The sequence below is a fragment of the Homo sapiens genome, chromosome 6, assembly GCF_000001405.40.
Source record: "Homo sapiens chromosome 6, GRCh38.p14 Primary Assembly".
NCBI classification, from domain to species: Eukaryota; Metazoa; Chordata; class Mammalia; order Primates; family Hominidae; genus Homo; species Homo sapiens.
In genome coordinates, this window is record NC_000006.12 from 113570916 (window position 1) to 113598223 (window position 27308).

General features: G+C 39.6%; 1 long non-coding RNA gene and 1 pseudogene across 1 annotated transcript in view, besides 3 other annotated features; one reads left to right on the forward strand and one right to left on the reverse strand.

Moving 5' to 3' along the window:
- Window positions 1-16504, reverse strand: part of LOC124901379 (uncharacterized) — a 68150-nt gene extending 51646 nt beyond the window's left edge. The window contains exon 1 of the long non-coding RNA XR_007059713.1: window positions 16259-16504. This is a non-coding gene — a long non-coding RNA (uncharacterized LOC124901379). The remainder of the gene's footprint in view (window positions 1-16258) is intronic.
- Window positions 10548-11084, forward strand: RPS27AP11 (RPS27A pseudogene 11; annotated as a pseudogene).
- Window positions 16198-16783: an enhancer, noted in NCBI's record as "NANOG-H3K27ac hESC enhancer chr6:113908315-113908900 (GRCh37/hg19 assembly coordinates)". NCBI's record gives its function as "activates a minimal SCP1, AML or CMV promoter by ChIP-STARR-seq in naive H9 embryonic stem cells {active_cell/tissue: H9 hESC(naive)}" and the evidence as "EXISTENCE:reporter gene assay evidence [ECO:0000049][PMID:30033119]".
- Window positions 21232-21526: a silencer, noted in NCBI's record as "tiled region #11267; K562 Repressive non-DNase unmatched - State 24:Quies". NCBI's record gives its function as "represses a minimal TATA promoter and a strong SV40 promoter by Sharpr-MPRA in K562 cells {active_cell/tissue: K562}" and the evidence as "EXISTENCE:reporter gene assay evidence [ECO:0000049][PMID:27701403]".
- Window positions 25988-26167: an enhancer, noted in NCBI's record as "active region_24962". NCBI's record gives its function as "activates an Ori minimal core promoter by ATAC-STARR-seq in GM12878 lymphoblastoid cells {active_cell/tissue: GM12878}" and the evidence as "EXISTENCE:reporter gene assay evidence [ECO:0000049][PMID:35858748]".

A 27308-nucleotide genomic window follows, 5' to 3' on the forward strand; every position in this document is an offset into this window, starting at 1 on the left:
CTAGAATCATGAAATGCTGTGCCTATTGCACGAGCTATACCACATTAGATAGAACTATTTTACTACTTCATAGAAGTTGAAATGAATTTGAGAGTTAAGATACTTTTCTGCGGTTTTTGCACTTTGTCCCATGTTTTTCAATTTTTTTAATCCTTAGTTTTTCTTCTTCTAAGATTATTGTTTTGTCCTTGACTCCCTAAAATTCCATGAAACAGAAACCTGATGACAGTAGCCAAGCCAAATAAGGGTATAGTTTCCCCACATAACAAGGAGGTCTTGAAATTGAAGGGTTACAATTACGGTGGCATCAGGATTCCATGTGGATCCATCCTGGAGGGATCCCATCCCAGATCCATACAGCTGTTCTTCACTCTGCCACAGCTCAGGTTCCATCACATCCTTGTGCTTACAAGATGGCTGCTGCATCATGACCACGTCCCCAGGGAAAAAGCAGGAGATGAACAAAGGGCAACAGACATCATGAAGGAGTCAGCCCGTTTTATGGGCTACATATAGCCCTATTATGGGCTATATGTAGATTTCTTCTTACATCTTACTGATAAACACTAGGTTATACAACCAACCCTAATTTCAAAGGAAACTGAGGAGAGTAGTATATTGTAACTGGAAACATTGTTTCTCTGATTATACTGGGGTTTTCTCAATTTAAAAAAGAAAGAAAGAAAATGGCTAAAAAAAGAAGAAACAGGGTCTACTTGCTACCACTCTGGGGCCCCAAAGGTTTAAAAGTATGAGGTAACATGATTGCCTCATGTACATGGAAGGTTATAGTTCTTGTTTTATTTTTATCTAATGTAATTGGGTAGGGTTTCACTGAAAATTAAACAGATCTCTTAGATCAGTGGTCTCCAACCTTTTCGGCACCAGGGACTAGTTTCGTGGAAGACAGTTTTTCCATAGCTAGTGATGGGGGCAGGGGATGGGGGTAATTTCGGGATGAAACTTCCACCTCAGATCATCAGACATTAGGTTCTCATAGGAACATGCAACCTAGATCCCTTGCCTGTGCAGTTCACAATAGGGCTCAAGAATTTAATGCCAGCCTATTGATTGACAGGAGGCCGAGCTCAGGTGGTAATGCTCGCCACCGCCACTCACTCCTGCTGTGCGGCCAGGTTCCTAACAGGCCACTGACCATTATCAGTCCATGGCCAGGGGGCTGGGGAACCCTGTCTTAAATAATGCTACTAATAAAATGTACATCCTCGTCGTCACAGAAAGTGTTAGCTGCAAAGTAAAAACAAATGAAAGATGAAAATGCTTACAGGCCGGGCGCAGTGGCTGACGCCTGTAATCCCAACACTTTGAGAGGTGAGGCAGGCAGATCACCTGAGGTTAAGAGTTCAAGACCAGCCTGGCCAACATAGGGAAACCTCGTCTCTACTAATAACATAAAAATTAGCCGGGCGTGGTGATGCACGCCTGTAATCCCACCTACTCAGGAGGCTGAGGCAGGAGAATTGCTTTAACCTGGGAGGCAGAGGTTGCAGTCAGCCCAGGTCATGCCACTGCACTCCAGTCTGGGCAAAAAGAGCAAAACTTCAACTCAAAAATAAAAGAAAACACTTACAAATAATTAAAATAATATAATATTATACTGGTTTTCTAATCCCAAACAATACATACTTAACAAGCATTTAATAAATCTGTATGAAATGAATGAATAAGTGTTTTCTTCACTTTTCAAAAGATCAGTTTTTGTTTGGTTGGTTTTTTTTCTGCTCTACACTTTGGGAATAAAACCCTTTACAAACGGCATATAATAATAATTCCTTACATGGGAATAACTTTTAGCCTGAAGTACTTTCTGCCACATTCCAGTTTCAACTTTTGTTTTTGTTTTTTGAAACGGAGTCTCACTCTGTCACCCAGACTGGAGTGCAGTGGCGAGATCTCAGCTCACTGCAGCCTCTGCCTCCTGGGTTTAAGCAATTCTCCTGACTCAGCCTCCCAAGTAGCTGGGATTACAGGTACGTGCCACCATGACTGGTTAATTTTTGTATTTTTAGTTGAGACCAGGTTTCACCATTTTGGTCAGCCTGGTCTTGAACTCTTGACCTCAAGTGATCAGCCCACCTCGGCCTCCCAAAGTGCTGGGATTACAGGTGTGAGCCGCTGTGCCCAGCTTTTTTTTGCTTTTTTTTTTTTTTTTTTTTTTGAGCCAGTGTCCCACGAGCTCTGTGATCTCAGCTCTGCCTCCCAGGTTCAAGCAATCCTCCTGCCTCAGCCTTCCAAGTAGCTGGGATTACAGGCACCCACCACCACACCCAGCTAATTTTTTGTATTTTTAATAGAGATGGGGTCTCACTGTGTTAACCAAGCTGGTCTCAAACTCCTGAGCTCAGGCACCCAGCCCCAATTTCAACTTTCAAAGTTAAATTACAAAAGGTATTTATTTGCATATTAATCATAAGTAGGTATAATCATTACACTAGCGGAACAAACAACACGCCCACTGACTTTAGAGTTCAAATTTAAATAAAATTTCTACTAATGTTTATTGTTCGCCCCTTACCTGTCTCACTCTCACTTTTTATCTGCACTTTATTCTGCTTACCAGTTCTCTTGACCCTTCCATCTATGTATATACTTGGACTTTGCTGTTTTTACAGGAAATCATTACCCTTGTTATTCCTGATACCAGTAAGGATAAGTTATTGTAAACTCTTCCTTGGTAGCTATAGGCTACTCTTTCCTCCTCCTCTCTCCATTTCCAACTGTCTCCGTTTTCTGGATCCTACTTCAATAAGGTGGCATGAGAAAATAGACTTTACTGTGATCCTTCTTTCCTTCCTCTACCCTGCTCCAGAAAGATATTGTCTCTCAACCTTAGAATTCTACACAGTTTTTATCCGGAGTTGTTACATAAGCAGTTCCATTAACAACTATTTTGTTCTAATTCTTAAAACCAATTGCCAATCATTATAATTGGCAAGTCCATTTATCTTCAAGTCCCTTTCTATTTTATAACTACTAATCGGATTTGATAGATCTTACCATAGTACATTCCTGTGGTTTTTGCTTGTTTTTGCTGTTTTGTTACCCACTTGAGGTCCTTTATCTTCACACTAGACTACATAATCTATATTACTTTTTATCTCCATTAGATGCTAGGCTACTAGGAATCGTGGAATGTGTTTAAATACTCTTTGTATTCATATAAGCCATCAGAGTATCTCTACGGAAATGGACAATAAATGTTTGCTGGATGAATAAATTATTCTTTAACCCAGATTTCTTTAGTTCCCCCTTCCTGTTTAAAAAAAAAAACGAAAACTAATATTTTTAAGTCATGTAATCATTTATTTCACTAGTCATTTGACATAAGCAGGCCGAATCAGAGGAGTGTTCTCTTAATTGTTCGGTGTTCGGACTTTCAAAGTAAACACATGCATTGAACTTGAAAGGCATCCAAATTGGTGTGCCTAGAATTTCCCTTTCCCTTGGCAAACATTGTGAGCTGCCTTTCCATTTGCAATGTTGTTTCATTAGGTCATGAAAATGGACCCCATCAGAAGGTTGGCACACCCCATTACTGGAGTTACACTCAACTAAAGTTCAAAAAAAAATTGGCAACAAAAACCATTTGATCAATCTTATTCTGGTTTCTAAGAATGGATTTGCTTATTTTTCCACTTCCTATGTTTTCATTTCTTAGTTTTCTTTTGCATCTTCTTCCCATCACAGTATACTCTAAGAATTCTCACCGGCCCTTTATTCACTTCTTCAAGAAAGAGTTATTTAGCTACCTTTAAGGAAAGGGCCCATCCCCCACTACTCATGTTCCACTCCAACTCCTCCTATCCACCAAATGTATCTATCTCTTTTCCCTTATGCTAACATTTTTGTTCCTATGTCATTGCCTTTTTGAAGCTGGTACTCACTGAAGAAAAAAGATGGTCTTTGTTAATTGTACCAAAATGATGTAGGTCATAAGACTAAAAATTATGACTTCAATGGCAGAACTGGCAGTGAATAAGCTGGATTCCTTTCTCTTTCTGCAACCACATTCTCTTGAGCCTAGAGTCTAGGTATTTTTATTTTATTTTATTTTTTAATTTTAATTTTTATTTTGAAAAGGGGTCTTGCTCTGTCCCCCAGGCAGGAGTGCAGTGGTGTGATCTCAGCTCACTGCAACCTCCACCTCCCAGGTTCAAGTGATTCTCCTGCCTCAGCCTCCCAAGTAGGTGGGATTACAGGCACTCACCACCATGCCCAGTTAATTTTTGTATTTTTGGTAGAGACGGGATTTCACCATGTTTGCCAGGGTGATCTCAAGCTGCTGACCTCAAGTGATCCACCTGCCTTGGCTTCCCGAAGTGCTGGGATTACAGGCATAAGCCACCTCGCCTGGCCTAGGAATTTTTTAAAGTATTATAGGGTGGTAGGAGAAAGATGGCCACTGCCGTGTTGAAGTTGGAATGAGAGGCCAAGCATAAATTTGGACTGGTGACTCTGAGAGCAATAATAGCCAATCAGGAAATTAATTTCTGAGTCACAGTTATTCTCTTTTGCTACTCACTGGACAGCATTCATTAGTGTCTGGCTTTTTCATTTTTGCCCATCTTTTGAGCCTGATGGTGTCTGATAGAGATTTCTACTTGGCACTTCCTTGATATTAAATACAGCTGAGATTCTTTTTATATGCCAATTGCCCTTCAAGTTTCCTCTTCTATAAAATGACCCTGTAGTTTTTTTCAATTTTCCACTGAGTTGTTTATCTTTTTTTATTGATTTTCAGAAGTTTAAAAAAATATTCTGAGTACCAAACCTATTTGGTTATTCATGCTGCATTAGCAGTCAATTTGTGGTTAGCTTTTTATGTTATTTGTATCTTCTAAGGAGATAGTTTTAATTCCAGTGTATTCAATTTCAATTTATCAACCTTTTTGTTGTGGTTTTCGCTTTCTAAAAAATTCTTATTAGAGAGAAGTCCTTCTATCCAAGAAATCCTTTCTTATTTTTAAGTAGGGGCAAAGGTAAGCCGCTATTTTTCCTTCAAGAATCAAATCTCATAATAAATAGATAGAAGCTTTATTGACTGAATTTCATTTAGCAGACTAGCCTGGATAATCAACACTCTCCCTTTTCTGTATTAAAAATTGAACCCTCAAAGTTAATAGATTGTTTCTTAGTTGTGGTATATTTCAAAAGCAGCCACAAATTCCTCCCTTTTTTATGTGTGCTCCTCTTTGCAATGTGACACTGCAGCCTTCCCACCATGAGGTGGTGCCTATCCTTCCATTTCTTGAACCTGGAGATGACCATGAGACATGCCTTATCCAACAGCACTTTAGCAAATGTTTGCAAGCAGCGGCCTGAAAATTGCTTATACATTTGAAACTTACATTCTTGCTGCTTTATGAAACTCTGATATATCTATGAAAGGACACCTGGACTAGCCTATAAGAAGAAAAAAATCATATGTATCAAAAATGAGAAATCCTAGTGAGAATTCCTAGATCATGCAGCAGCAGTTAACCCATCAAGATAAGAACTGCTCAGTTAACCCACAGGATCACAATGTGTGATTGTTGTCTTAAGCAACTAAGTATGGGATGACTTGTTACACAGCAAAAGCTAACTGATACAATATCACATAGGACTCATTTCTATCTCCATTAATTACTTTCTTTGTTTATGGGATCAGACTGCTGGTGCTTAGAAGTAATTTCCCCCTTCTTCCTTTAAGTGAAGTTCCATATTTATCTGGATAAATGGCCAGCTATGGACTTTATTTTTCCAGCCATCTTGCAGCTATGTAAGGCTATGTGTAGGCTGGAGCCAGTAGAATGTGAACAGTAATAATTCAGGACAATGTCATGGTCATCCCCTTAAATACAATGCTGCTTTTATTTGACTCTCCTCCTCTCCTCTTTCTTGGATTGAAATGCAGACATGGCATAGCTAACCTCTAACTTTAAAGGAGAAAAAACACACGGGGGTTATTTTTTACCCACCCTAGACTACTCACCTGAATTTGGACTGCTATGTGAAAACAAATTTCTACCATATTATAGTACCTCTGTATTGAATTTTAATTATTACAATAACTTAGCCTGTAATTAATGTATTTACTGAAAATCAGTGGTGTGTGTCTTCAGACTTACTTATATCACATATATTTGTTATTATAAGTACATGATTTTTCAAAATATTATTTCACCCAGTGAAATATGAGTACAAGTTAAAAGGAAGTTATTGTTTCTATGAATACTAACTTGAATACTTTGGAACAATTCAGTAAAGGCAAGTCACTAAAAATCAAGTGTGATTAAGACAACTGGGGGCTGGGCACACTGGCTCATGCCTATAATCCCAGCGCTTTGGGAAGCCAATGCAGAAGGGTTGCTTGAGCCCAGGAGTGCAAGGCTGCAGTGACCCATGATCACACTACTGCACTCCAGCCTGGGCAATACAATGAGGACCCGTCTCAAAAAGAAAAAGAAAACAAACGAAAAAACAACTGTGAATGATTGGGGGGATATCACCAAAACTTAAAAGATTCTTCCCTCAGAATGTTTCACAAGTTTCTATAAATTCCTCCTTTACTTGGGTGCAGTGGCTCATGCCTGTAATCCCAGGACTTTGGGAAGCTGAGTTGGGATGATTGCTTGAGGCCAGGAGTTCGAGACCAGCCTATGCAACATAGCAAGTCTTCATTTCTAAAAAGAAATAAAGCTTAGTCAGGCATGGTGGCACACACCTGTAGTAGTAGGAGGCTGAGATGGGATCATTGTTTGAGGCCAGGAGTTTGAGGCTGCAGTGAGCTATGACTGAGCCAACTGCACTCCAGCTTGGGGGTGACAGAGCCAGACTCCAAATCTAAAATATTTTTTATATATGTATAATTTTATAATATATATAATTTATAATATATATATATTCCTTTACTGGACAAAATTTAACATTATAGGGGTGATGTTATATATGAGATTTATAAAAGAAAAGTAATCTGAACTCTAATCAGTAGATTAGATGTGGAATGCAGCTAAAATTTCCAGATCTTTCCCTTCCCCCTCCCTTCCTTCCTTCTTTCCTTCCTTCCTTCCTCCCTGCCTCCCTCCTTCCCTCACTCCTTCCCTCCCTCACTCCCTCCCTCCCTCACTCCCTCCCTCCTTTTCTCTCTCTCTTTTTCTCTTTTTTTTTTTTTCTGGACAGAGTTTCACTCTTGTTGCCCAAGCTGGAGTGCAGTGGCACAATTTCGGCTCACTGCAACCTCCGCCTCCCGGGTTCAAGTGATTTTCCTGTCTCAGCCTCCCAAAAAGCTGGGATTACAGGCGCATGCTACCATGCCCGGCTAATTTTGTGTTTTTAGTAGAGACCATCATATTGGTCAGGCTGGTCTCAAACTCCTGACCTCAGGTGATCCGCCTGCCTCGGCCTCCCAAAGTGCTGGGATTACCAAACTCGGTTTCTTTCTTTTCTTTCTTTCTTTCTTTCTTTCTTTCTTTCTTTCTTTCTTTCTTTTCTTTTCTTTTCTTTCTTTCTTTCTTTCTTTCTTTCTTTCTTTCTTTCTTTCTTTTCTTTTCTTTCTTTCTTTCTTTCTTTTCTTTTCTTTCTTTCTTTCTTTCTTTCTTTCTTTCTTTCTTTCTTTCTTTCTTTTCTTTCCCTTCCTTCCTTCCTCCCTTCCTCCCTTCCTTTCCTTCTTTTTCTTTCTTTTCTTTCTTTCTCTCCCTTCCTTCCTTTCCCTTTTTTACTTCATTCATTTCCCCCCCCTTTGGAGCTAGAAACTTAAGTGTGTGTGTGTGTGTGTGTGTGTGTGTGTGTGTGTGTGTGTGTCTGAGAGAGAGAGAGAGTGAAATCTGTTGGTTTTAAATGTCAGCAACTGTGTCAGAGACTACTCGCCATCTATCAAAATATATTCTCCTCTTCTTGGTCACACAGCTATCAAATACTTCCTCCTCTTCTTCTCGAGCACACAACTAGACCACATTTTGCAAGCTCCTCTGCATTTAGTTAGGGCCGCATGACTAGGTTCCAGCCAATGGCAAGTGTGTAGAAGTGATTAATGTGTTCTATTTCCAGGCCTAGAGTATGAAACCTCATGTGCTCTTTTCCCCTTCCACTGCCTGAGATGTTGATGATCAGGTGTTCCATGTATCCATGTAAGGCACAAATTGAGGATGATAGAGTTGCCTTCACCACAGGTCCCTGGAAAACTGCAGGAAGAGAGTCCTCCTGCTACCTCCTTACCTGGAACACAGGAACATGCAATCTAGACTGAGTGAAACATCAACTTCAATTGTGGTTTAGCCACATTGTATTTTGAGTCTATTGGTTATACCTGTTTGGTCTACACTAACTAATAGAGCTACCAACAGCAATTAAAATATTATGCAGGTGTTCTCACTTATAATTGAGAGCTAAATGATGAGAACTCATGAGCACAAGGAAGGGAATAACAGACACTGGGGTCTACTTGAGGGTTGAGGGTGTGAGGAGCGAGAGGAGCAGAAAAAACAGCTATTACCATCATACTGGCATATTACCAGTATGCAGGGCAGGATTCTGTCCTTTGAGCCCATGCCTTGGAAACTGCCTTTAAGGATCTTTTTAGTTTCATTTCTCCATTCAGAAAATGCAGGGAATTCTTTTATTCTTTTTCTTCCTTCTGAGTCTCTATTTTTGCATAGTCCTTTTTAAAGAAGAAAATGATAAACTAATAGTTGCTTCTTTCTTTCCTTTTTTCCATTTTACCCTACCCTATTCTATCTTTTTTCTTTATTTTTCCCTAGTCTTTAGCTTTTTCTTTTAGTTTTTTCTTTAGCTTTCATTTTTGTGCAGGTACAAAAATGTGTGTGTGTGTGTCTCTAAATTTATTATATCTCTATTCCCACCGTTTTTATTTTCTTGACACCTCCATTTTTTATTTTATTTATTTTATTTTTATATTTATTTATTTATTTATTTGAGACAAGGTCTCACTTTGTTGTCCAGGCTGGAGTACAGTGGCGCAATCTCGGCTCACTGCAACCTCTTTCTCCTGGGTTCAAGCAATTCTCCTGTCTCAGCCTCCCGAGTAGCTGGAAGTACAGATGCATGCCACCATAACTGGCTAATTTTTGTATTTTTAGTAGAGACAGGGTTTCACCATGTTGGCCAGGTTGGTCTTGAACTCCTGGCCTCAAGTGATCCACTCACCTCGGCTTCTCAAAGTGCTGGGATTACAGGGGTAAGCCACCACACCTGGCCATTTTTTTTTTTTTTACAACTTATACCCATACCCTGGCCTCATAGTTCTCAGCACCAATAAATATTTTCAAATGAATTGACCTACAGGAGAATGTTTTCTTAATCTGATGGGGATTGAGAACATAGCAACATTGAGAGGGAAATGAGGTACCTATAATTCATATGCAGACAATTATACAAGGCCTCTCCTGTCTTCACTTTTCTTCTCTCCCTGTTTGCTTTTCTTTGCAATGTATTAATTTACACTGCTAGAAACTTTTCTCTGACAAATGGTTAAAATGAAATGATATTTTTCAATAGATGTTTCAATGTAGTTCTTTCTAAAAGGTGCCAGTCTGTCCAAATAGGCCAATTGTCACATCATCCCCCCTTCATGACATTATACATCTTATGCTAACATTATTGTTTTCCATACACTATCAGGTGACTTTTGGGGGTAGAGAGAATGTCTATGGATCAGGCATCATTTTAAATGCTTTCACATATATATAATTTATATGTGTATTATATATATAAATATATATATATATATAATCTATATAATAGGATCAATCTCATAGATTTGCTGTAAGTTTATATAAGAAAAGAGTCCTTCTGCTACCTCCATACCTGGAACATAGGAGCATCCTATCTGGACTGAGTGAAACATCAATTTCAATTGTGGTTGAGCCACATTGTAATCTGGACCGAGTGAAAAACCAACTTCAATTGTGGTTTAGCCACATTGTATTTTGAGTCTGTCGGTTATACCTGTTTAGTCTACACTAACTCATACAGTTATCAACAGCAATTTAAACCATTATGCAGGTGTTCTCACTTACAAGTGGGAACTAAATGATGAGAACTCATGAACACAAAGAAAGGAAACACAGACACTGGGGTCTCCTTGAGGGTTGAGGGTGGCAGGAGGGAAACTTTATATAAACTCAAAACAAATCTATGAGGTTGATCCTATTACTGATATATATATATCACTTTATATATATATAAAATACACAAAGAAATTATATATATATATAAGCATGTACAATGATGCCTGATCATAACACACTCAAAACAAATCTATGAGATTGGTCCTATTATTGTCCCATTTAATAGATGAAGAAACTGAAGTGGAAAGTGTTTAGGTAAGTTGCTGAAAGTCAGACAGCTAGTAAGCTGAAGAGCTGAGATTCAAACCCAGGCAAGTAGGCTCCAGTCTGACTCCAGAGCCCTCTCTCACAGCCCCTTTGGAGAAATGTCATTTCCAAAGTCCCACCACTTCCTAGTGGAGAACTCAATGTTTTAAGAGTTATAGTAGAAGGTTTGTTCCAATAAAACAAACATTTTCGCTTTTCGATCCACCATCTGTGGTGGAGCCACCACCAAAATGCAGATTTTCTTGAAAACCCTTACGGAGAAGACCATCACCCTCGAGGCTGAACCCTTGGATACGATAGAAAATGTAAAGGCCAAGATCCAGGATAAGGAAGGAATTCCTCCTGATCAGCAAAGACTGATCTTTGCTGGAAAGCAACTGGAAGATGGATGTACTTTGTCTGACTACAGTATTCAAAAGGAGTCTACTCTTCATCTTGTGTTGAGACTTCGTGGTGGTGATAAGAAAAGGAAGAAGTCTTACACCACTCCCAAGAAGAATAAGCACAAGAGAAAGAAGGTTAAGCTGGCTGTCCTGAAATATTATAAGGTGGATGAGAATGGCAAAATTAGTTGCCTTCGTCGAGAGTGACCTTCTGATGAATGTGGTGCTGAGGTGTTTATGGCAAGCCACTTTGACAGACATTATTGTGGCAAATGTTGTCTGACTTACTGCTTAACAAACCAGAAGACAAGTAATTGTATGAGTTAATAAAAGACATGAACTAACAACAACAACAACAACAAAAACATTTTCTCTGTACATCCAACTGCCTTCCTATGTTAGGCATCTACATCATATAAAAACTTTAAAACGTATCTAATTAGAACCTTCCACAGAGCCTAACTTCCTGAGATACCCTTATTTTTGGCAGATATCTCCTACAAAACAAACTATTGAAGTACTAATCTAATATTTGGGTTCTCTAGATGTAATAGTTTCTAATTTCAGAATGATTCTTTCTTTCTTTCTTTCTTTCTTTCTTTCTTTCTTTCTTTCTTTCTTTCTTTCATTCTTTCTTTCTTTCTCTCCTTCCTTCCTTCCTTCCTTTTCTTTCTTTTGAGTATTATGTTGAGATTCATGAAACCCAGGAATGAAGGTCTCAAACTCCTCTCAACACCTAGAATATACTTAGCTTCTCAGAGAAATGTAAACAGTTTGGTCCCTTGGGAATTATTTTTAAAACACTAGTCATCTTTTGTTTTGAAACTCAGCATTAAAAAGTATGTTTTTGGATTATGAATATTATATCGTTCTCCAACGAGGTACAGCAAATGGTAGAAAAAGGAATAAGGTAGCTCCATGAGGGTATTAACCCAATGAAGCGAGGAAGCTCATTAATGAATAATTTGGAATTGAAATTTGGCCAGAATACTATTCCTCACGTTTCTCCAATACTAAGGTTATGTATTTGTACGCAAAATAGAGAAAGAATTGAGGCAATTATCTAGATAGTTTAAGCTACAGACCACTTTCGCTGATAACAACCCACACAATTATAGTCTCTATTGGTTTGGCTGGAATTATTCAGACAGCTGCCTCAATTTTCCCCTTCACTTTCCATCCATAGAGACGACCCAAAGTAAAAGGACAAACCATAGTTGCAATTGTAAATGCAGAGTTCCACATTTTATTCAAAACATGAAACTTGTTAAACTAGAGAAGTCATCTCAAGGGAGAGATTGTTCTACAATAACCAGAAATAAATCCCTCAGTCTCTAATTAGAATGACTTACTTGAATCCTAGTTAGCCTTGACAATGCTCTGTTTTTATTCAACTTTCCAAAGTTCGGCAAAGAAAAATAATTATTAAACACCTACTATGTCAGAAACTATGGCAGTGTATTAATAGAGTTTATTTTATTTCCTTCTTTTTAGAAACATTGTCTAAGTAGCAGATAACATTCCATTTTGCAGAGAAATGAAACAGGCAAAGTCAAGATTTTTTTAAATATAAGAACTTTGCCCAACAGAACACTCTTAGTACGTACTGGAAGAACCAGATAATTCTTTTGATATGAACCTCAGTATTCCATCCACCATGGAGACACGGATGATAGAAAAATTTTTAATCGGGGAACTGAAAGGCAGTACCTTTTGAGGTGTTTACTGCTTTTAGCGTAACAATCTCTTTAAAAAATAGAAAATCTCCTCTAAATTAGTAATATTAAAAATGAACTCTTTTGTTCACTTTTGCCCCTTGATATCTTGCTAGTAAATTAGAATTCTTAATTACTTCTGGAAGTCAATTAGTTTGGCTCAGCAAGATCCAAGAGGAAAAAAATAAGAAAAGATAATAAAATCATATTTGAGAATACTTACATTCACAAAATCAATTGTATCCAACAGATGGTTGTTGTTATTCCCATTTTGCACTAGATACAAGTAAATAATACCATCATGTAGTGAAATGAGTCTAGTTTTTGTATAGACTTTTTGAATCAGAAACTTAATAAAGGTCTAAACTTAACTTTGAAATGTACTTTGAAATGTATAATTGGCCAAACAATTAAATTAAGCAAGAGTGCATTCAAAGTAAATCCCAACTAACATGGAGATAAGATCCCAAAGTAGTTCTGACATTTACATCTAGAAGTTGGTCTCTCACCAAGCATTGGTTTTGATCTTTAATCAGAGAAGCAGGTCAGGACGACTTGGGAAACTTGATCCAATTTCACTGGCCCAGAGCTCATCCTGGTCCTATGGTCTGATTCCTCAAGGATAGGGCCTGGACATACATATTTTGAAAATGTTCCATTCCTCTCCCATTCGGATCAATGTGATGACCAAGATGTACTCCAATAAGTAACAGACCCTAATATTTATATTATTGCTAAAACTGAAGCCATTATTTTGAGAAGTTGAACTCCAATACTCCGTTGGTTCTTTCTAAGAATGCCATACCAGGCAAGATGTTCTATGTGAACATAATGGAAATTTATTACGGCCATGGGGGACAATCATTGCCCATAGTACTTTCAAATGTTTATAGGTAAACATCATGGAAGTTCTGCTTTATGGTACCAAGCTTTGGGTTTCTGGACTCTGGGAAAAATACCTCATATATACTATAAATTTTATCTTGGATCAAGCTAGATCTTCAGAGGTTGCCTATGTGAACCAGATTGCCTGACTCCTGAAGGATTTTTTTCGCTGAATTACACTTTAGGTTGTGCCATCAGACACTTGGCTTCTTCTCACAATGACAAAAATCAGTGATTCTGTCAGGTTAGTTCAAGTAATAAACACAAACCCGTGTCTTGCAGGAAGAGCAGAACCACAATAGAGTGAGGTTCCAGGGAAACCTGCTATGTCATTCAGAAATTTCCACAGTCCCCATGATCAGCTGTCTCAAACCTCAGCTCAGCATCAGGGCTTATGGATTACACCATTGCTAGCCCAACAAAATCATCACCTCTGTGTGTCCTTTTCATTTTGTGCCTATGTATTGTCTCAACTGCCTCTTGGCCTCTGCAACCTAACTTTTCTCCTTGGCCCTTCAGTTCCTGCCCACGCTTCCAAATAATTGCCTCCGCTTTGTACCTATTGTCTTCAAACACCCTAAAAGAAAACATCCAGTTGTTTTCTCTCAACTTCAGTCATGCTTTCTAAGCAAAGCTTTTTTGTCAGATGGCCTTGTAGGCCACTAGCAAGTCTGTAAACACCAGTTACTCTTCAGTCAAGTGCCCCTCCCATCCCCAGGCCAATTAGCTGTGGCCATAATGTTTATAATTGGGGCATTTGTTATCTGCGCAAGTGTGTGTGTGTGTGTGTGTGTGTGTGTGTGTGCGTGTGTGTGTGTGTTTGTGTGTTAGAAGGGGAGCTATAGGGTACAGAGCACAGCTACTTGTAGGCCAGCCAGCTATGGCTAATTTCCTCTCCTTAGTGATCTGTGGCTATTGTAAGCACTTTAAATTTTAGTTTGTCCTGGTTTGCACTGAGGAATAGTACACAAAATATTTATAGAGACTTGTATTGCATTTATTTTAGTTATGTTGTTGAGAATGTACAACTACATCTCACTGAATACAGTTTTCACAGGTCTAAGAGATAAATTTCTCTTACATCCTGATGCAAATAAAAGCTTTGCTTATCATGAGTTTCTGGTTGGTTTTGCTCTTATGTAAAAGATTAAATTTGTAAATACCCATTGGAGCAAATCAGGGTTACATTTGTGGTTCACCTCTGGCAACAATACAGAATTTTGTGGTCGGCGTCTAGAGCTCAGCCTATTCCTACTTTTACTTTATTTCATTTTCCTGTTTTGATTTTATTTCACCTATTTATTCTCATTTATTTTATTTTTATATTTTATGATATGTATCTACTTAAGCCACAGCAAATCTTAATTTTAGATGAGATAAGATATTAAAAATGACCAAAGCTGGCCAGGAGCAGTGGCTCATGCCTGTAATCCCAGCACTTTGGGAGGCCAAGGCGGGTGGATCACAAGGTCAGGAGTTTGAGACCAGCCTGGCCAACATAGTGAAACCCCATCTCTACTAAAAATACAAAAACTAGCCAAGCGTGGTGGTGAGTGCCTGTAATCCCAATTACTCGGGAGGCTGAGGCAGGAGAATAGCTTGAACCCGGGTGGCAGAGGTTGCAGTGAGCCGAGATCAGCCACTGCACTCCAGCCTGGGCGACAGAGCAAGACTTCATCTCAAAAAAAAAAAGACAAAAGCTATAATTATTTATTAACATAATTATTCATTCACTAAACTATATTTTTCAAGAAAAAAGCAGTCATAGCATTACACTTGTGTCTATATAATTCATCCCAGTTCTAGTCACAATGAGTACTTATTAAAAATTTGTTGAGTGAATGAATGGTTCAATGATTTTTACCAAATATTAGAAGATGATAAATTCCACACTGCAGATATTGAGTAAAATATGCATTTGAAAAATAAGATTATTTCAAGAAAACCAGCAAATTTTATTATACAATCTTGGTAACAATATTGGTCAGATCTTAAATTCTGATTCATCATAGCTACAATATCTCTTTTCTTTTCATCAAACAACACTACTACAGTCACAAATAGCATGAAAGTGAGATTCATTTAGGTTCATAAAGTTTATAAGGACAAAACATGAATTGCATTTTATAATCACTGAAGACCAAAGCCAATACTTTAAAAGCAAATTGCAAATTCTTTTAGTAATTGCTGCATTACTATTCATCATTGTAACCTGTCTCTGAATGAAGTTGTATTTTCGTGTTAGTGTCCTTTGAAATATGTGATTCCATAAGCATTCCATTGTGATGAAAGCTCTTGTGTCCATCCAAACAGAGAAAACACTGTATCACAAGTTACTCATGGCAAGTTTTTGGCAGCTACTTAAAGGGGACAAAATAGAGGAATTTAATATAATTCAATCAAAGACAGGGGAATGCACATGAGAGAAAAACAAGGCTGGACAGAATATTAGTAAAGTCAGCATTATAACTGAGTGCAATACTTTATGGTATTTAAGAACCAGCTAGAAGGAATGCATTGTATTAGCATGATACAACAGCTAATTCATATGTGTGACTACTAGATTTCAAGCAAAAACTTAGCTGTACTAGACATTAGGGTATCTGGCACGAAGATGTCACTTTATGTTTCTGGAAAGATAAACAGCCAATCATGATTTCTTTCATAGGTCAGGGAAACCTAGGATGCCATCAGCATTCTACAGCTTGCTCTTGTCTGCATCCTGGACAATTTCAACATGTCACTGGAAATAACATGTTATGCTGTTCAAAGGCTGCCTGAAGAGGAGAGCAAGCCTTTCCCATTGCACTTCCTCTAAACCATCTCTAAACACCTTCTTAGACTCAAAGATAAAAGCCCTTGACCTTTTTACGTAAAACTGAAGTGTATGATCATTGGAACTGATAGTCTACGAACCTACCCTGGATGGACTCCCTTCCAGGTCCTGAATGAGAGAAGTGATTTGACATCCTCTTGGTTTCAGATTCTTATTCACTACTTTTTAAAATAGAAGCAACATTGAGGGTAAAATCTGGATTCATAAAAGTCTGCATTAATTATATACTGACTCTGCACTATTAAAACAAAGCCCATTGACAAGCAGCCATCAGATACCTTTCAGAGGAGGGAGTCTTGGCTGTTATTCTTACAGCGTCCCTGAAAGAGCCCTGATCCTCTCTCTGGCTGCAGCTTTTGTTTCCAGCCCTTCTTTTTTCAATGGTTGTCATGGAATCAACTTATTAGCATATGAAAAGCCATACACAACACTTTTCCCTTTACCCCTCGCTCCCCCACAACCAAAAGCCTGTTGCTAAAGCCTTAGTCCTTAATATTCATGTAAAGGAGGGTGGGGTGTGAGAACAGAAATAAAATTGTGAGTGAAAAAACAAAGACGTTTTCAACTTGCATCCTCTCGGGCAAAAATGGCTGATTTTTAAAGAGTTAGAATTTTCTCAGTTTCTGTCTTTTTACTGAGCTTCCCCAGATTTTGGCAACTGTAGTCTCCTACCCTGTTATAATTGACCTTATTCACCAAAATTGGTTTTAATTGCCTCATCAGTCAGAGGACAGATATGTGTGCTTCTCAACGTATTATGACAACTTTTGCTTAATTTGGGATTAATTTCAATAATCAATTCTCATGTTTTCTTAAAAATAACTTCTAAATTTCTTCAAAATTTTTAGTTCATAAGTGACAGAAAATTCTCTTTTTCTTTAAAGTGATCTTATAGGTTATGTAAACTACAACTCATGAAAAAGAATAGGCATGTGTTTGGTTTCTGAAGTTGTCTTAGCCCATGTTTATAAGCTACGTTTTGTCTCACCTTGTATATATAGGGTCAAAATAATGCATTGTTTTTCTGTGTAAAAATAAATCTTGCCAACTCCTCCCAAATACACTTATGTAACTAACTTGAAAAGGCTCTAAGAATGTTGCCAAATAAAGAGGAGACTTCTCCTTTTTTGTTTTTGTTTTTTTGTTGTTGTTGTTGTTTAATGAGACACAGGTCTCACTATGTTGCACAGGCTGGTCTCAGACTTCTGAGCTCAAGTGATCCTCCCACCTCAGCCTTCCAAAGTGCTAGAATTACAGGTGTGAGTCACCACACCTGGCCAAGAGAAGACTTTCTTAAAACAACAAACACAACAAAAATCTCATGAAGCACACTATACTCCATATTCTACAGTAATATAGACAAAACCCGTTGTACCACCTGCAAAAATATTCTTGCACAGCATATAAATGTAACACTATCTGGCTTCCAGGAAATTTCTCAACCTAGTCCCCATCTCAATAACCTTTAATAAACACCTAGTATGATGGTGATGATGATGATGATGGTGATGATGATAATGATGATAGTTAGCAAATAATTAGAGCCATGTGCTGTTAAGAGCATTAGGTGATTGATAGATCTAATAGTCAGAACATCATAAGAACAAAAGTTGATCACTTCTTCAATTTGAGGACTTACTACACTCAATTGTGAAAGTTCTTTTATGGAACAAAATTCTAGTGAAATATACTTCTGTCCAAATGTGACCACGTTGGTTTGGATAAGCCACCTATATAGTCCACAGATGGTATTAATCAGAATTCCTTCAGTGGTTAGTGGCAAATAACCAATTTAAGTGAATAAGCAAGAAAACAAAGGAGGAGGATAGTTATTGACTCTGGAAATGAAAATCCAAGGGAGGCACTGGCTTAAAGCATGGCTAAATCTGAGGATAAATGTATAAATGTCAAGTGTCCAATATTTGACCCTTTTTTTTCCTTCTTCTTTCCCATCTGTCATTCCTTCATCTTTCAGCCCTACTTTTGTAGTTGAGCTCCGTTATGCTAGAAAACAATGACGGTTCCCTCTGAGCAGCCCAAGAAAGTGGCTGAAGGAAGTTCTGGATTTACCTCCCCTTTGATTAGTAACCCTTATGCTAGAAAACAATGACGACTCCCTCTGAGCAGCCCAAGAAAGTGGCTGAAGGAAGTTCTAGATTTACCTCCCCTTTGTTTAGTAACCCCATCAGAAAGAGGTCACTCCTTTCTCCTGGTTCCCATGTAGCAAAAGCAGAGAAAGATTCTAACTCACTTTGTTTGGCTCATAGGCCCAAATTTTAACTGCATCTCCATGACCAGGGAAATATTTGGCCAGTTCTTGTTACTGCCTACTTAGATGTTTGGAGGTGCAATGTCTGTTACACAAAGAGGAAGATGAGAAAGCCTTCAGGGGATGATGGATAAAACCAATAGCTACCTATAATCCACTCCTCCATGTTTACTCCATGGAGGACTTACTACTCAATGTTTGAAATAAAATATAACTCAAGTTAAATCAGGGCTTCTAATAACCAGCTTCTGTAATTACCTAAACTAATGAGATTAATAGAGGTGTGTCTACTACCTTGAAAAGGAAATAATATTAAAATGTCCTTCAGGACGGGTGTGGTGCCTCATGCTTGTAATCCCTGCACTTTAGGAGGCCAAGGAGAGCAGATCATTTGAAGTCAGGAGTCTGCGACCAGCCTGGCCAACATGGTGAAACCCCAACTCTACTAAAAATACAAAAATTAGCCGTGCCTGGTGTCATCCACCTGTAATCCCAGCTACATGGGAGGCTGAGGCAGGAGAATCACTTGAACCAGGGAGGCAGAGGTTGCAGTGAGCTGAAATCACACCACTGCACTCCAGCCTGGGCAACAGAGTGAGACCACATACCAAAAAAAAAAAAAAAAAAAAAAAAAAAAAGTCCTTCAGCCAAAATTTTACCTGGCATCTATGCAATGTGAAGTCTCGGACAAGTTAGAATGAGCCAGTGTTAAGGAGACATAGCAGAGGCTCAACTGTATTGAGAGGAAGCACTTTAAAAAATACAAATCAATCAATCAAGACATATTTACTTAGTTCCTACCATGAGATCCACAGTGTGTTTTATGCACAGGGAGAAAAAAGATGAGAGGCCCACTGGCTATCAGATGATAGAGGTAACACTATAATTACTCAACACACAGCCTAGAGGGTAAACTGAAAAATAAAATTCCTTCTTATCCACCAGAAAAATCAATAAGAAAGTGATAAGGCAGAGAGTTAGCCTTTGTCTAACTAATGGAAGCCTCAAGCCTCAGGGATGTCTCCTCCCTACTACCCACCAACATCCCTGGGTTCTTTGATATCCTGCAAACCCCTGTAGTAGCAGAAGCAAAGTGTGGGATTTGGGCTTAACTGGGATTGGCATAAGGAATTTCTAAAAAGCCATGAGTGTCTCCTACCTGCTTGTTACTATTCCACAAGGTGTGAGTTACCATTCCACAAAGTGTGAGACAGATGTCCAAGTGTTCATGTAATTTTTGAAACTATTAGTTCTCTGCAGCCTCCAAGTTCTTGTGATTCTCACGTACAAAGCATCTTGGAAAAAGGTGCTATGTAAAGGGTGCTTATTACCATCTGAAGGCATCTCATCGCCCTCCCAGTCACCATGCCAAGAGAAATGAATGGGAGTCATGAATGTGAAAATCTAAAACCCATGGCTGGGTGTGGTGGCTCATACCTGTAATCCCAGCACCTTAGGGGTCCAAGGTGGGAGGATTGCTTAAGCTCAGGAGTTCGAGACCAGTCTGAACAACATAGTGAGAACTTGTCTCTATTTTTTTTCAAAATAAAAAACTTAAAAAAAGAAAAAAAAAAAGAAAATCTAAAACCTCTCCTTCGTGGGTGAGCCCATAAGTGATTCTGTTACCCACAAAAGGGCCTATGCACACAAAAAGAGCACTGCTATTTGGAGATTTCTCAGGGCCTTAAAATATTTCTGTAATTTCAATTTACAGCAATCACTTGTCCATCAGGTTGTTCTATATATTGAAACATTTGGAAGCGTAACCCCTGACAATCAGATACTACTTTAATTACTTTAAAACCACAACATTGGCTTTGAAACTCTTACCAAAAAAAAAAAAAAAGTTTATTCAACAAACCTCAAGATGTTCCTGTACTTAGTAGATTAAATCTCACAAAAATATTCGTCATAAACTCAGATTTTTCTTAAATTAAAAAACATCACTAAATACCTCTAATTTTCTGTCTCCCATGTGGAATCCCTCTTTTCCAATCAAATGTTCTTTCTTTTGCTTCAAAAATCAGTTTTGAGCACCCCTCTATCAGAAACCTTCCTTGATTTACTCCACCCTATCTTGATCCATCTATTACTTAACACTTTATAGAGATTTGCAAGAAACCAATCGGTAATCCACAAATAATTATTGAGTCTCTATTACATTCTTAGCACTGCAAAAGTATTGTGGGAAAATCGAAAAAAAGTTTAAGAAAGACATGATCTTTTCCCATATGAAGTTTATAGTCTTTCTCATGAGACAGTATTTACACAAGTGAAATATTTTAAAACAAGACAATATATGGTAAACATGCTGAACTGTATGGTTCAGATAAAAGTAGAAGTGTTCTGTCTTTTCAGTGACCATGATATCACCTCCTGTGCGCTCCCTGTTAGGTTCTGGGGATACTAAGGTTGCTAAAATGCAAAAGTGGCTGTTGTAAGACTCACCATCCAAAGGGAGAAATAGACACATATACAGATGGTTATAATCAATATGTTGAGTACAAAGACAGAATCTGTGTATTTGGCTCTGAGAGCACAGAGGAAGGGTACCCAACTCACAGAGGAAGGGTACTCAACTCAAAAATGTCTCCCTATATTACCAAATGTCTTCTGAGCAACAAAATGGCCCCCAGTTGAGAATAATTGGTCTAGAAACATTCAGAAAAGTATTAATGAATGGAGCTTTGCCAGGTTACAAGTACTGTTGGGGCAGGGGAAGTGAGAAATGGCAGAAGTGAGGAACAGTATGACAGCATGGTGTGTGCAAAATCAATGTGTGCTGCATTGCAGGAGTGTAAAGAGCTAGATTCTCTGCTTCAAATTCTTTTAAAATGATGAAACACCTAAATAGATAAACCAACAAATAAATAATCCCCATACATGTTTGCTGAAAAGCAGAAGCAGATTTACCAGGCCTTGAGCATGTTGGAATCTGCTAGGCTTTGAGGACTTTCAGAGGTGTAACAGGAAAGCCAGGCTGCAGTCAGGAAGCATTCTAAGCAAGCATGTCTGGAAAGTTGCCAGGGGTGTTATATGAAAAGGACCTGAAGCTCAAAGTCTCCAGTAATTTATTGTGTTTCATTTTCTCATGCTAAATAAATATTCACTTTTGTACCTGATTTTGTATTCTTTATCATAAAGAAAACCCCTCAAATTGTATAAAATTCCATTCCCCAGAACCTGAATCTGCCCTGCTGAGGAGAGATCCACAATGAATTACTTTGCCAGGAAGGTAGGTCTTGACCTGAGCTTTGAATAGAAGGCTCCCCTGCTGAGGAGAGAAAGAAATTGTATTCCAAGTGGGGGAGGTTTGTCTCTCTGGGATGGCTTAAATGCAGACTTTCCCAGAAACAGAGGTGGACTTAATGACCATGAAAGATCCCACTCCGCCTTGTGATTTTGTGATTTCAAAGTATTATACTTACACGGGTCACAGTGTACCTACAAGCTTATGACCACAGATCCTGCATGTTGCAGGTCTTGAGTGTGAGCCATTGCTAAGGGATAGCACAGTTCTAAGTATATGTCATAATATATGTATCAACTTCAGAATGAAAGAGCCACTTCTTAGTCCCAGAAACAATTGTCATTCAACTAGAGGCTCTGAACTGTTGTTTTCCCCTTTGTGTTTGTATGGATTTAGACTGGGTGATACATTTTGAGGGTGGTATTTTTTTTTAATGAGGCTGATAATACAGTTCTCTAAAGTTTTCTGGTTTAGGCCAATGTTTTAGACTAAAGAACTCAGTTTGTGCCAACCGGAAGTGCTATGCAAAGCTGTCTGGTAGAGTTGACAGAACTCAGGATTTGGAGTCAAAAGACCTGGGTTTGAGTCCCAGATCTCCCACCTTCTTATAAGTCACCTGGTACAGGCACATCTTAAAGGATTTCTGGGAGGAGTAACTAGATTAATTTATCAGGCAATGGTAAAGCCAACTGTATTAGTCCGTTTTCATGCTGCTGATAAAAACCTACTCCAGACTGGGTAATTTATAAAGGAAAGAGGCTTAATGGACTCACAGTTTCACATGACTGGGGAGGTCTCACAATCATGGCAGAAGGCAAAAGGCATGTCTTACATGGTGGCAGACAAGAGAAAATGAGAGATCAGAGCAAAAGGGGAAACCTCTTATAAAACCATCAGACCTCATGAAACTTATTCACTACCATAAGAATAGTATGGGGGAAACTGCCCCCATGATTCAATCATCTCACAATGGGTCCCTCCCATAACCCATAGGAATTATGGGAGCTACAATTCAAGACGAGGTTTAGGTGGGGACACAGCCAAACCATATCAGCAACCTGTATTTTATAGTTGGAGTCTGTTTGTATTGATTGATTGCTATAATGATTGTTAAATATTAAATATTTTGAGTTTTACCTTGCATGAAGCACAAAGGAGATGCCAGTTAAGATTTCTGCCTACCACTAGCAGAACCTTTGCAGACAAGTCTTGCTGCTGTAAGCACAGATTTAATTGTTGGTTACAATATGGAAGATGTTATTCTAGAAATGAACCTTTCTGGGGTCATAATGGCTTTGAGTTCTTTTCAAGTAGGTACAAAGATTTAATGCCATGCTGTATGAGAAGCAAAGTCATTAGGTTGGGCCCAGTGGTTCTCAGTCCTGGCTGCACATAGAATCACCTGGTGTATTAGTCAGGGTTCTCTAGCGGTACAGAACTAATGGAATATATATATATAAAAGGGAGTTTATTAAGTATTAATAAACTTAATAAAGGGGAGTTTATTAAGTATTAACTCACATGACCACAAGGTCCCAAAATAGGCCATCTGAAGGCTGAGGAGCAAGGAGAGCCAGTCCGAGTTCCAAAACTGAAAAACTTGCAGTTCGATGTTTGAGGGCAGGAAGCATCCAGCACGGGAGAAAGATGTAGGCTGGGAAGCTAGGCCAGTCCCTCTCTCGTTTTTTTTTGAGATTGAGTCTCGCTCTGTTGCTCAGGCTGGAGTGCAGTGGCGTGATCTTGGCTCACTGCAGCATCCACTTCCTGGGTTCAAGTGATTCTCCTGCCTCAGTCTCCCAAATTGCTGGGATTACAGGTGCCCACGACTATACCCAGCTAATTTTTGTACTTTTTAGTAGAGATAGGGTTTCACCATGTTGGCCAGGGTGGTCTCGAACTCCTGACCTCAGGTGATCTGCCCACCTTGTCCTCCCAAAGCGCTGGGATTACTGGCGTGAGCCACCATGCCCGGCCTCCAGTCTCCCTTTTTACATTTTTCTGCCTGCTTATATTCTAGCTGTGGTGGCAACTGATTAGATTGTGCCACTCAGATTAAGGATGAGTCTGACTTTCCCAGCCCACTGACTCAGATGTTAGTCTCCTTTGGCAACACCCTCACAGACACACCCAGGATCAATACTTTGTATCCTTCAATCCAATCAAGTTGACACTCAGTATTAACCATCACACCTGGGGAGCCTTTTGAAAACACTTGTGCCTGCACCCTACCCTAAACCAAAGAAATCAGAATCTATCTGTGCAGAGTCATGGGAAATCTTCCCCAGGTGATGTCACTGTCCATCCAGAATAGAATCACTGCAGCTAGACATCTATTCTCATTCAGTGCATGAAGCAAGTACCTGGCCCTACAGCTCCTCTACCAGCAGACATTGTGGCAGGTGTCCACTTTCTAGATGAAACTTTCCTTATAAAAGACCTACTGTAGGCCAGTAGGTGGCTCACACCTGTAATCCCAGCAGTTTGGGAGGCTGGGGCGGGTGGATCACTTGAGATCAGGAGTTCAAGACCAGCCCAGACAACATGGTTAAACCCCGCCTCTGCTAAAAATACAAAAAATTAGCCGGGGGTGGTGGTGGGTGCCTGTAATCCCAGCTACTTCAGAGGCTAAGGCAGGAAAATCACTTGAACCTGGGAGCCGGAGGTTACAGTGCGCTGAGGTCACACCGTTGCACTCCAGCCTGGGCAACAAGAGTGAAACTCTGTCTCAAAAAAATAAAAAATGAAAGACCTACTGTGTATGTACCATCCATAAATCCAAGCAAGAGAGGATGCTGCTCTGCATCTTATAAGGGAGCAAGCAACCTGGCCTTCTTTCAACAGCACTTCTCTTCATGAAAAGGAGAGTCCACGGGGCCAAAGCGATACCCCCACCCCACCCCAAACACATCCTTAATCATGCTTTGAGTTCCCAGGACCCTAAAATTCCCTTCCCAATCAACTAAAACCAACTTCTTAGGACCTGACTAGGCACACCTTTAGGCCAAGGGATGTCCCAGAGGTGGCTGTTGATGAGGGTGTTAATGCAGCTTGGACACGTGTGGTGGAGTTTGAGAGGTCCCATGCATTGTAGGATGGGGGTAGGGTCTGAAAAGATGGGGGTAGACCCAGGACCTAGGGCAGTGGGCCAGGCAGTGAGAGGCCCGATTTCCCTGGCCATCCAATTCCAGGATGAAACTCCAAGGAGTCAGGGAACTCTAAATTCAAATCCAGCCTCTAGATAGTTAATGAAAATACATTTGTCATGAAGGGAGGGTAGAACATATTTTATGTTTTACTTAAGAATGTTCAAGCTTGCATCATAACTTTTAAGTATTTAGGCATATGGCTTGTGGGCCTCCGTTTGTACTCTTGCCCTGGGCCCTGCAAATGTTAGGGGCGAGCCGAAAGGACACATCTTTGCCTCACATCCCTCCGGGATGTTTGCTTATTTGAAATTAGCAGCCATGGAAGCTTTCCAAGGCTCTTTGAATGCAATGAGAATGTGGTCCATCAAAAATGCTGTCTGATTTTATTGCACATGAGAAGTTGTTAACTCTGGCAGCCCAGCCAGATTCTTGTATGTTCTCATTGTCCCTTAGGCCTCCCCAGCCAAATCCTAATGGGGTAATGAGTCTGTGCCTATGAGATTTGAGGGAGGGGCTGAGGGAAGTGTAATCAAGCAAATCACAAAGTGTTGAGCTTAGAGAACGGAAGGCCTCCGTTCCTTTGACTTCATTTTCAATTCACTTAATTTCAGGGTTGGATCCCCCCCACCCCGCCCCTTTGGCAGTGAAAAAGAAAAGGAATGTTCTCTGTTTTTCCTCTTATAAAACCTGGAGCATAATAACTGCCCTGGACTGTTAGGAACACGGTGAGGAGGATCTCAGAGAACAGGGACTGCTTATAGCCTACATATGAAATTGTATAAGCAATTGTCGTTTTTCCCCCATTCATTAATCTGGCAGGATTTACTAAGGGTTTTAGAAGGGAAACATGGCTGTTTTAAGAGAAACTACAATAAGGAAATGGTGGGGGTTGGGCAGAGAAGGCCAAGGACAGACTTGAATTCACACTTTATAAATCTGGCACGGTATATGTGAACTGCTTCATGAACTGGCTGATATCAGGCAAATAAGAAAGTTAAAGCAAACCAAGAGCTATGCTCAAGCAGTCAGTTCTCCCAGCAAATTAACCAGGCACTTTCAGGAGTATGAAACTCCAGAATCCAGGCAAATGGCACAGAGGTCTCTGAATGGGTCTCAGCAGCTGCCAAGGCAGCTCACACATCTTGCACACCAAAGGAGTCACTTACCCTCTTGAGGAAATGAAAAGTCCCTAAGACCAAGCCTCTCTGGAACATGTCATAGGCCCTGGGAGAGCCCAGGGATAACCTTTAGGGTTAAGTGTCCCCATGATGCTGCTGGTATTTCAGTGAGAACAGGCAGGCCGGAAGGAGGCTGGTGTGGGAAGCAGCCCTCACACAGATGTTAGCATAAAAGAGCTGTTTACTTGGTGATTAGTATCATGAAATGAAAAGCTCAGGTTTCAACTGCTTAGGGAAGAATGATTATTTTTCTCACTGTGCAGCCTTTGCCGTTGGCACAGAGAATGTATTCATCAACGTCCCAGGTGTCACTCTTGGGCAGGTGGGATTCCAGACTCAGGTTGGGCCATCACCCCTGGCCCCATCTGGAGAGACATGGGGACTTGCTCAAACTTTTGTATTTATGTAATGAGTAAGAGGCTGAATCCCAGAGGAGTTACCCCTCAGCCAGGCTAACCTCAGAGTTCTGCATTTACCATGGGTACATCACCACAAAACAGTGACCAACACTACCTCGTTCCTAACTTCCCCAGAAGGGCAAGGGTGAAATGGACCAACTTACAGATTCATGGGGTTTAGAGAAAGAATTAATCAGCACCCTCTTTTTATCACCAACAGGCCTACCCATGGCCAATACATCCAAATTGTGCACACTGTGGAAAGATCACTCTCTTAGTGCCTCAAAGCTTAGAATCAGTTTTATTAAATTATTCTAACATTTCCCCCAAAGAAGTATGAGCCAAGAGGCAGTTTATTTTCTGGAAAAAAAACATGCACTTTGAACATAAAGGGCTCTTGGTTTGAATACCAGTTCTTCCACTTACTAGTTATGAGATCTTGGGTGAGTTATTTAAGAATTCTGCATCTCAGTTTCCCAATATATAAAATAGAGATAATAATAGCTACATCACAGAACGATTATGCAGATTAAATTAGATAACTCCTGATAGGCACTCAATACAAGGAAGCTTTTATGAACAGGAAATGTGCTTTTCAGAGAAGCCTTTACCTCCCTCCCCATTGTAAGGTCTTCGAGTTCAATAGCAGCATCTGGGGTGGATTCTCCTCCAGAGCTACAGTGCTGCCTCCTCCTTTCCAAATGAATAAATCTGGTTGCTCCCATTGCATATATCAGTGTCTAAATAAAACTTTCGGTGAAAATGATTTCAAAAAACAATCTGAGGGGCTAGATGTGGTAGTTCATGCCTATAATTCCAGCACTTTGGGAGTCCCAGGTGGGTGGATCACCTGAGGTCGGGAGACTAGCCTGGTCAACATGGTGAAACCTCGT